We start from the raw sequence: 11,681 nt of genomic DNA, 5'->3' as shown, positions 1-11,681 counted from the left end.
TCCATTCCTGCTGCTATAACAAAATACATTAGACTGGGTAATTTATAAACAACTGAAATTTACAGGCATACCTCAGAGATATTGTGGGTTCGGGTCCATTCTACCACAATAAAGTGAGTCCCACAGATTTTTTGGTTTCCCACTACATATAAAAGTTATGCTTAGGCCAGGCACAGTGGCTCACACCTGTAACCCCAGCACTTTGGGAGGACAAGGTGGGCAGATCACCTGAGGTCAGGAGTTTGAGACCAGCCTGACCAACAGGGAGAAACCCCATCTCTACTAAAAATACAAAATTATGTGGTGGCACATGCCTGTTATCCCAGCTACCTGGGAGGCTGAGGCAGAAGAATCACTTGAATCCAGGAGGTGGAGGTTGTGGTGAGCCGAGATCGTGACATTGCACTCCAGCCTGGGCAACAGGAGTGAAACTCCGTCTCAAAAAAAAAAAAAAAGTTATGCTTACACTATACTGTAGTGTGTTTAGTGTGCAATGGCATTATGCCTACAAGAGCAATGTACATATCTTAATTTAAATATAGTTAATTGCTAAAAAACGCCAGCAATCATCTGAACCTTCAGCAACTTGTGATCTTTTTGCTGGTGGGGGGTCTTGCCTTGATGTTGATGGCTGCTGACTGATCAGGGTGGTGCTTGCTGAGAGGTGAGGTGGCTCTGACAGTTTCTTAAAATAAGACAACAGGGAAGTTTGCCGCATTGATGAACTCTTCCTTTCATGGAAGATTTTTCGGTAGCATATGATGCTGTCTGATAGCATTTTACCCACAGTATAACTCCTTTCAAAACTGAAGGCAATCCTCTCAAACCCTGCCACTGCTTTATCAACTAAGTTTATGTCATACTCTACATCCATTGTTGTCACTTCAACAACGTTCGCAGCATCTTCACCAGGAATAGTTTTGATCTCAAGAAACCACTTTCTTTGCTCATCCATAAGAAGCAACTTCCCATCCATTCAAGTTTTATCATGAGATTGCAGCAATTCAGTCACATCTTCAGGCCCCACTTCTCATTCCAGTTCTCTTGGTATTTCTACCACATCTGCAGTGACTTGCTCCACTGAAGTCTTGAACCCCTCAGTCATCTATGAGGGTTGGAATTAACCTCTTCCAAACTCCTGTTAATGTTGATATTTTGACCTCCCCCCATGAATCACAAATGTTCTTAATGGCATCTAGAATGGTAAATCCTTTCCAGAAAGTTTTTAATTTTCTTTGCCCAGATCCATGAGAGGAATCACTACCTACGGTAGCTATAGCCTTACAAAATATATCTCTTAAGTAATAAGACTTGAAAGTCAAAATTACTCTTTGATCCATGGGCCACAGAATGGATGTTGTGTTAGCAGGCATGAAAACAACATTATTCTCCTTGTACCTCTCCATCAGACCTCTTAGGAGACCAGATGCATTGTCAATGAACAGTAATATTTTCAAAAGAACCTTTTTTTCTGAGCAGTAGGTCTCAACAGTGGAGTAAGTCATGCTCCAAACAGATGTGCTGCTATCCAGGCTTTGTTGTTCCATTTACAGTGCTCAGGCACAGTAGATTTAGCATAATTATTAAGAGCCCTGGGATTCTGGGAATGGTAAATGAGCACTGACTTCAACTTAAAGTCACCAGCTGCATTAGCCCCTACCAAGGAGTCATGCTGTCCTTTGAAGCTTTGAAGCCAGGCATTGACTTCTCCTCTCTAGCTATGAAAGTCCTAGATGGCATCTTCTAATATCAGGCTGTTTCATCTACACTGAAAATCTGTTGTTTAGTGCAGCCAACTTCATCAATGATCTTAGCTAGATCTTCAGGATCACTCACTGCAGCTTCTCCGTCAGCACTTGCTGCTTCACCTTGCACTTTTATGTTATACTGACGGCTTCTTTCCTTAAACTTCTTGAACCAACCTCTGCTAGCTCCCAGCCTTTCTTCTGCAGCTTCCTCACCTCTCTCAGCCTTCATAGAATTGAAGAGAGTTAGGGCCTCACTCTGGATTGGGCTTTGGCTTAAGGGAATGTTGTGGCTGATTTGATCTTCTACCCAGACCACTCAAACTTTCTCCATATCAGCAATAAGGCTGTTTTGCTTTCTTATCATTTGTGTGTTCACTTGAGTTGCACTTTTAATTTCCCTCAACAACTTTTTCTTTACATGCACAACTTGGTTAACTGGTGCAAGAGGCCTAGCTTTCAGCTTTTGACCTGCCATCCTCACTAAGCTTAATCATTTCCAGCTTTTGATTTAAAGTGAGAGACATGCAACTCTTCCTTTCACTTTAACACATAGAGGCCATTGCAGGGTTATTAATTTGCCTAACTTCAATATTGTTGTATCTCAGGGAATAAGGAGGCCCAAGGAGAAGGGAGATGGGGGAATGGCTAGTCAGTGGAATAGTCAGAACACATACAACCTGTGTTGATTAAGTTTGCCATCTTATATGGGTGCCGTTTGGGGTGCCCCAAAACAATTACAATAGTAACATCAATGATCACAGATCACCATCATAGATCATGAAAAAGTTTGAAGTATTGTGAGAATTACCAAAATGTGATACAGACACATGAAATGAGTACATGCTGTTGGAAAAATGGTGCTAGTATGCTTGCTCAATGCAAAGGTGCCACAAATCTTCAACATATTTAAAAAAAAAAAAACCAGTAACTCAAAGCACAACAAAGCAAAGTGCAATAAAACAAGCTGTGCCGGTATTTCTTACAGTTCTGGAGGCTCAGAAGTCCCAAATCAAGGCCTCAGCACCTTCGGTGTCTGCTGAGGGCTGTTCTCTGCTTCCAGGGTGGTATCACAAACACCGTATCCTCCCAGGTGGAAGAGATAGAAGGGCAAAAGGAGTAAACTCTCCCCCAAGCCCTTTAAAATGTCACTAATCAGGCCAGGTGTGGTGGCTCATGCCTGTAATCCCAGCACTTTGGGAGGCCAAGGCAGGTGGATGACCTGAGGTCCAGAGTTCAAGACCAGCCTGACCAACATCATGAAACCCCCGTCTCTACTAAAAATACAAAAAATTAGCTGGGCATGGTGGCGCATGCCTGTAATCCCAGCTACTTGGGAGGCTGAGGCAGGAAAATCACTTGAACCCGGGAGACGGAGGTTGCAGTGAGCCAAGATCATGCCATCGTACTCCAGCATGGGCAACAAGAGCAAAACTCTGTTTCAAAAAAAAAAATGGCACTAATCTCACCTATGAGGTCAGAGCCCTGAGGGCCTGATCACTTTCCAAGGGACCCACCTTTTAATATCCCCATCTTGGGTGTTAAGTTCCAACATATGAATTTTGGAAAGACACACACATTCAAACCCTACCAATCTCCTAATTTTCTCTAAGATATAAGTTTGTTTTAGGTTTGGAGACCATGCTGGGCAAGGAGATAGGAAGAGGGAGAATAAGAAGAAAAGGTAGTTAAGGACTATTTCAGAGCCTTTGGCCTCAAACACCAAAAGAATAAACCAACTGTTTAGATTACTGTTTCGTTGTTGTTGTTGTTGCTGCTGCTGCTGTTGCTGTTGTTGTTTGTTGGAGATGGGCTCCTGCTCTGTCACCCAAGCTGGAGTGCAGTGGCACAATCGTAGCTCACTGCAGCCTCAAACTCCTGGGCTCAAGTGATCCTCCCACCTTAGCCTCCCGAGTAGCTGGGACTACAGATACGCACCACCATACCCAGCTATTTTTTTTTTTAATTTTTAGTAGATACAGGGTCTCACCATGTTGCCCACACTGGTCTCAAACTTCTGACCTCAAGTGGTCCACCCGCCTCGGCCTCCCAAAGTGCTGGGATTACAAGCATGAGCCACCACACCTGGCCAGGAATGTGTTTCTAATCAGCTTAAAATCACCACTCTCCCTGATTTACCACTCAGTCCCACCACGTGCATTCATTCCGCAAATAGTAAGTGACCACCTACCATGTGTTTATCTCTCCTAGGAGCTGAGGGAGAGCCCAGTAAGTACAAAAGGGGTACCTATCCTCAAGAACCACACTGAGGGTGCAACCTGAAGCTCTGTAACTCCACAGCCACTGCATGAGCAAAGTCTCAAGGATGCATCCAGACAATCCACGAACAGGAATAGGCCAGGAGGCACAGCTCCTAGAGGCTGGATGCTCAGAGAAGGCTTCAGAGGAGGTAAGTGAATTAGGGTTTGCCAGAGAAACAGAACCAGTAATACAGTTGACCTTTGAACAACACAGGTTTGAAGTACATAAGCCTACTTATACCTGACATTTTTCAGTAAATGTATTGGAAAATTTTTTGAATTTGAAATTCTCACTAACTGTGTAGCCTAGAAATACCAAAAAAACAAAAAAGGTGTGTCATGAATGCATAAAACATGTAGATAGTAGTCTATTTAATCACTTATTACCATAAAATATACACAATCTATTATAAAAAGTTAAAATTTCTCAAAACTTACACATACAAAATCGACCACAGGCACATTCACATTCTAGAGAAATGTAAACAAATGTAAAGATGTAATATTAAATAATTGCATAAAATTGACTGTAGTACATCCTGTACTGCTGTGATAATTATATAGACATCTTCTGTCTTCTGCAATGAGCTCAAGTGTTTCGAGTATCCACTTAAAATGCTGTGTGACTGTGACACCAATCGTCCACGTGTGAGCAGTTCATCCCTCCAGTAAATTGCATATTGCAGTAAAAAGTGATCTCTTGTGGTACCTGTGTATTTTTCACTGTGTTTAGTGCAACCTTAAATAACACCATGGGGCCCATACGAGGTGCCACTGATGATGCTGGAAGTGCTCCCCAGAAGCAGAGAAAAGCCATGACATCACAAGAAAAAGCCGACTTGCTTGAGATGTACTGTAGATTGAGGTCTGCAGCTACAGCTGCCTGACATTTCAGATAGACAATTCATCTTGCAAACAGATGGTAAGAACTTACTTACGGTATTGGTAAATACAGTACAGTCCTGTACATGTATTTTCTCTTTCTTATAATTTTCCTAATATTTTCTTTTTTCACACTATCTCAGAAGAATCAAATTTCATTGTCTCTAGCTTACTTTATTGTCAGAATACAGTATATTTTACAGTATATAATATTGTAGGAATACAGTATATAACATACAAAATGTATGTTAATGGACTGTTGGTGTTATCAGTGAGGCTTCTGGTCAACAGTAGGCTATTAGTAGTTATGTTTCTGAGGCGTTGATATGGTTTGACTCTGTGTTCCCAATCAAATCTCATGTCAAATTATAATTCCCAACGTTGGGGGAGAGGCCTCGTGGGAGGTGATTGGATCATGGGGGCAGATTTCCCCTTGCTGTTCATGACAGTGAGTGAGTTCTTACGATATCTGGTTGTTTAAAAGTGTGTAGCACTTCCCCCTTCACTCCCCTTCTGCTTGGCCATGGTAAGGTGTGCTTGCTTCCTCTTTGCCTTCTGCCATGATTGTAAGTTTCCTGAGGCCACCTAATGATGCTTCCTGTACAGCCTGCAGAACTGTGAGTCAATTAAAGCTCTTTTCTTCATATATTGCCCAGTCTCAGGTAGTTCTTTATAGCGGTATGAGAACAGACTAATACAGGAGTCAAGAGTTATACTTGGATTTTCAGCTGCAGGAAGGGTGGGCACCCCTAATCCCGAGTTGTTCAAGGGCCAACTGCATATGTGCGGGGCAGTGGGGGTAGTGTGGAGAGAGAGAGGGATTTCTTGTAAGGAACTGGCTCACACGATGGTAGAAGCTGGAAAGTCTGGCCTGCTAGGACAAGCCAGTAGGCTGAAAACTCGGACAGAAGTTGAGGCTGCAGCCTTAAGGCAGAGTTTCTCTAAGGAGACCTCGCTTTTGCTCTTAAGGCCTTCTGCTGAATAGATGGGTCCACCCACATCATCGAGGTTATCTTCTCTACTTAAAGTCAACTGATTGCAGCTGTTAACCACGTCAATAAAATACCTTCACAGCAACACCTAGACTAGTGTTTGATGAAATAACTGGGTAAACAACCTAGCCAAGTTGACACATAAAACTAACCATCACAGGAGGCCTCCCAATAAGGAACAAGAAAAGGCAGCATGAGGGTGTGCAGCCTGGGCCTAGACAAATGGTAGGTCAGAGGGCTGATGGCCACGGGATGAAAACAGGGCCCATGAAGCAGGACCTGCTGTCTGGGAGTCACTCGAACTCCCTGCTGAGAAGTTTGCCACCCACGCCGCAGCCTCTGGGAGCTGCCAAAAGTTCCCCATGATACAGGCGCTACCACAATCTGGGAAGTCTGAGGATGAGCCGGAAGGAACAGGCCACTGAGAAATCTGCTCTATAAACCCGAGGGCAAGACCAGAACCCAGGTTGGGGAGGGGAGTGGAGGGACTGAGCGCAGGAAGGATGCCCCACATGAAGGACGCCCCTGGGCAGAAGCAGCAGCACGAGGAGACAGAGCCAGCTCCAGTGCAGGGTGAGGAGTCTGACCCTTGATGTTGACTGAGACCACTGGGGACATGCAGACAGACGCCGAACACAGGTGGGGACCAGGTGGGCTACTTGGCAATCAGTGATAGAAAACTGCTGGTGCCATGGAAACTGATGGAGTCTCCAGGGAAGAGTGCAAGAGAAAAGGTCAGAGAAATTGGCCAAGGGGCTAGGAGTGACCCTAGAAATAAAGACAAGCCTGGCCCTCAAGCCTTCTCCCGCATGTGACGGCACCAGGTGCAGTCAAGGATGGGGGAGACACAGCCTGGAGGAGAGTTTCCTCTATGTGGAATCAGCCCCTCTGGAGCCTTGAGGCTGCCAGCAGAGGCCCCAGGAGAGGATGAGTAGACTTGCACCAGGCTGAATGGAAGTCCCTGGACACCTAGGAGGATGGGCACCGGGAGGCTCAGGGGTTCCTGAAAGCAGAGTTGTTGGTAACAGGGATACAGACAGCAGTAACCTGGGAGAAAGGGTGAGGTGCATGGAGGATGGGGAAGGACTGGGCGCACAGGGCCTTGTTACTTGACAGAGGTGAAAGGAAGTGGGAGGAGCAGATGCAAATTAGATGATACTCACACAGCCAGGATACAGGAGACCCAGGCTCAAGTTCAGAGTGAAAGGTTAGGCCAGGCACCGTGGCTCACACCTGTAATCCCAGCACTTTGGGAGGCCAAGGCCGGTGGATCACTTGAGGTCAGAAGTTCAAGACCAGGCTGGCCCACATGGTGAAACCCCGTCTCTGCTAAAAATAAAAAAATTAGCTGGATGTGGTGGTACACACCTGTAATCCTAGCTACTCAGGAGACTGAGGCAGGAAAATCACTTGAACCCAGGAGACGGAGGTTGCGGTAAGCCAAGATCACGCCACTGCACTTAAGCCTGGGTGACAGAGCGAGACTCCATCTCAAAAAAAAAGAGACAGAGCAGAAGGTTAGTGTGGCAGCAGCCTCAGGAGGAGGCAAACACTGCCAACAGAGTTCTCAACTTCACACACCTCCCTCGTGCAAAAGGGAGAGGGGAGGGAGCAGCCCCAGATGATGTCAGAAGCTCACACTTCTATGTAGAGTGTACACCAGCCATGGCTTGGGGACTCTCCACACTAACGTGTGTTAAGTCTCTTAATTACCACAATACCCTAAGAGACAGGTACTAGAATTGTCACCATTCTACAGGAAGAGAAACTGAGGAACAGAGAGGCTAATAACCTGCCCAAGGCCACACAGCTAGCAAGTGGCAGAGCTGGGATTCCAATTAGACCGTCAATTTAGGTGTGAGAGGTTAAGTGACCTGTCCAAAATCATAAGGCAAGGAGATAAATTCAGGACTCAGGCACAGGCCCCAGCTATATATATGGTGGCTGGTTTACCCACCCAGAAGCAAGCTAGCTGATGTGGTTTGGATCTGTGTCCCCACCAAATTTCATGTTGAATTGTAGTCCCCAGTGTTAGAGATGGGGCCTGGTGGGAGGTGACTGCATCATGGGGCTGGATCTCTCATGAATGGGTCGGCACCATCCCCTTGGCGCTATTTGTTGTCATGATAGTGACTGAGTTCTCCCAAGATCTGGTTGCTTACAAGTGTGCGGCCCCTCCCACTTCACTCTCTCTTGCTCCTGCTCTTGCTTTGCCTTCCGCCATGAGTAAAAGCCCTCAGGCCTCCCCAGAAGCAGGTGCTGCCATGCTTCCTGTACAGCCTGCGGAACCGTGAGCCTACGAAACCTCTTTTCTCTGTAAATTACCCAGTCTCCAGTAATTCTTTATAGCAATACAAGAACAGACTAATACACCAGCCTAGATGACCCTGTAAGCAGGAGCTTGCGATGCCCTCTCCTGACCCTCAACCAGGCATCCTCGTTCCCAACATCCTTGCAAAGGCTGGTCCCAAAACAGCACAATGTCTTCACAGGAGCCCGAGGCCTGGCATCCAAAGGGCAAGGGTTGCAGCTTCAGGCACCAGCAACCTGAGCACCTCTAGAGGTGCCCTGTGGAGCTAGCGGGCCACCTGCCAGCAAGGTCCTCCCACAGGTTTACATTCAGATTCAGAGGATGCCAGACATGCTAAAAGTGGCTCAGCCCAGGGACTCTGAGGAGATGCCTCACACCAAGGTCCCTGCCAGCTCTATGAGACTCTGTACCTGTACTGAACCATGAAACACAGGTTTGGCATTTGGAGGTTTATCAATGACGCACGGTGCCATTGACCTCTTAGCCTGCTGAAATCCCAACTGGTAATTAAACCAAATCCAAACAACTGAGAGAGAGTAAGTCTGCACTTTAATAATCATCATAATGCTTTTACTTACTTTACTTAATTTTTGTAGAGACGAGGTCTCACTTTGTTGCTCAGGCTTGTTTTGAACTTCTGGCTTCAAGCGATCCTCCTGACTTGGCCTCCCAAAGTGCTGGGATTACAGGCATGAGTCACCACAGCCAGGCCCGTATTGCTTTTACATTGGTACCTTGCCTTTTACTCCTAAACTCCTTTGTCATACAGAAGGGTCACTCACTGCAGCCTAAGAACCAAAATACTGCTTTGGGGCTCATCCACCCAGTCATCACCTTAAGACTCAACAGACAAACAGATATTCTGCTGACTTCTCATTCTCAGCCAAAACCCTTGTCTTTGCTGCAAGACAGTAGAGCCAACCCTCCAGCACCTCTCAGTCCCCTACCCTCCATATTCCAGCTCCTCATTTGCGCCTCATTCTCTCTCCTCCCTCAAGCCCACTGCTCAGCCTGTGTTCCACAGGCCCTGTTCCTGTTCCTGTTTGCTCCACTCAGCCTCCTCCTCCGCAGCTGTTCTCAGGACGAAGCTCACGGGGGAAGGAGAGAGCGAGCTCTACTCCCAGCAGGAGGCTAGAGTGGGTAGGAGGGCAAGAAGTCGAGCTTGATGGCTAAGCCCTAGTTTCCTGAGGCCCCCTCACTGGTCACTCACGCAACCTCCTCAGAGCCACACATGGCAAGTGGCAGCCCTGGCTACCACATCCACAGTTCATGGAAGGGGAAGTTGCCCAAGGTCCAGAAATTTGCCAGGGACAGTTAATATTTTCCTAAACATATCCTCACCCACGACACAAGTCAGAGTTCCCCAGAGTGTAATGTCCATTTTGTGGTGCCCTGGAGATGATTCAGGGAGAAATGGACATATGCTTTCTATTTAGGAGTTTTGTATTTAATTTTACGATCACCTTCTATTTATGGGTCTGGATACTGGATTTCATGTGCGGTCATGGTATAAAGTTTCCTGCTAAAATAAATTTTCTAAGTGAAAAAAAGAGCCAATCTTTTTAAAAAGTAGAAAGTAAGTCACTGCAGGGGTGGAATGCAGATATGCCAAAAACCACAAAGGTGGTAAGCAAATGAGTGCTGATTGAATGATTCTGACATCAATTGCATACAGACCCATCCTGTAGACCCACCTTGGTCCTTTGTTAATTGAGAAGAAATCAGAATCACAAACCAATTCCATTTGATGGACAGATGTCTGCCGAGAGCCTCTGCTGCATACAGAACTGTTAAGAGTCACACAAAAGGGGAGTTTCCGCAGCAAGCCTTGACTCAGGAATCTTACTTTCTGCAAAGAACAGGTGGAGACTCATGGGATCTGCCAGAGAATGGAGCAAACCAATACGTAAGAGAGTGAGGCAGGCACAGCGCAGTGCGGGGCATGAGAAACAGGGTTCAAGAGACCTGGATCAGCATGCAGGAGTCTAGAAACATTCTTTCCACTCTGACCTCACCACCTGGACCCTAAAAAGTCCCTCTTGGACCCTGGTGACCTTCCTGTGGCAGTGAAAGCCACAAGAGGACTGTGCTTCTAAAGGTGGGGAGCATCGTGAGAAAATGACAGCCACCTGCCTGCCATTTCCCCTGCTGCCCTGTGGTCCAGACAGCCCCCGTAGGAGCCCGCAGGGAAGGCTCTCCTGGGCTATGTTTGATCAGGCATGACTGAGCGTCACTCTCTAGCCAGGCTTCCGCCTACTTTCTGCCTTCCTTGTACTGTTCCCTTACTTTCAAACTTCGCATGCTGTTCTCTGTGGTGCTTGCTCCCTCCCATTCAGAAACTGACCTAGGAGCCCTAGACCTTGAGAATTCCTGCATGGCAACAGAGGCAGGCATATGGAACTACCACACTTTCTTCCAAATCTTCAGAGCTGACACTTTCGGGGGCCTTTTGGTGTCTTGTGTACCACGAAGCCACGAGCCTCCGTGGTAGGGGACCGCCCTCCCCACCCTACCCACAGGGTCCCAGGGTGGGCTCCAGTTCACACCACATGACCACAGACATCGGAGTAGGGATCGGAGCCAATCAGATTCTCCTCTGGAATTAGAAACTATTACGAATTTGGAACCGGAGCTGAGAGACTCCAGCTCGCTCTGGGCTGGGCTCTGTACAGCAGAGGTGCAACATTCCAGAGTTAGGGGAGGCCATTTCCTGCCAGGTGGCCCAGAGCCACGGAGGAGGCAGAGCTGCAAACAGGAGCAGAGACGTGAAGGGAGATAAGCACTGCCCAGGCCACCACAGTCTATCCAGGCCCTAAAAGCCGTGCCCTTGCCCAGCCTTTGCCCAGTGCTTCCTCTGCCTAGCGTACCCTCCCTGCCCTTCTCCTCCAAGTCCTACAGGGCTCAAGAGTTCCATCATGTTTTACAATAAAATCCATACTCCTTCCCCTGGCCCTTGACCCTAGGGCACTCATTCTTGCCACCCTCCTAGCACTCGCTAGGCTCTGGCCACACCAACTGTCTTAGTCTGTTTTCTGTTGCTTATAGCTGAATACCTGAAACTGGGTCATTTATAAAGACAAGAAACATATTTCTTACAGTTATGGAAGCCAAGAGATCCAAGGTCGAGGGGGAGCATCTGCCAAGGCCTTCTTGCTGCTTGGGACTCTCCGCAGAGTCTCATGGCAGCGCAGGGCATCACATAATGAGGAGGCTGAGCATGCAGGCCCAGGTCTTTTTTTTCTCATAAAACCACTAGTTCCCCTCCCATGATAACCCATTCATCCATTAACCCACAAGTGAATTAATCCATTCATGAGGGCAGAGCTCTCATAACCCACCACCTCTTAAAAGCCCCACTTCTCAATCCTGCTACATTGGGGATTACATTTCAACATGAGTTTTGGAGGGGACATACATTCCCACCACAGTGCCAACCCATTTTCCATTATTTGAACAGGCCAACTTATCCCAGCCCCAGGGCCTCTGCACT

The 11,681-nt window shown here is 47.0% G+C and overlaps 1 non-coding gene across 1 annotated transcript; it reads right to left on the bottom strand.

The window, feature by feature from the left end:
- Nucleotides 1-4,061: 4,061 nt before the first annotated feature.
- MIR8056 (microRNA 8056) lies at nt 4,062-4,143 on the bottom strand. Its single transcript, NR_107023.1, has one exon. It is a non-coding gene; the product is annotated as a microRNA 8056 (primary transcript).
- Nucleotides 4,144-11,681: the final 7,538 nt, after the last annotated feature.

Source organism: Homo sapiens, chromosome 5, assembly GCF_000001405.40.
Source record: "Homo sapiens chromosome 5, GRCh38.p14 Primary Assembly".
NCBI classification, from domain to species: domain Eukaryota; kingdom Metazoa; phylum Chordata; class Mammalia; order Primates; family Hominidae; genus Homo; species Homo sapiens.
This window is presented reverse-complemented; position numbering and strand designations above follow the sequence as displayed.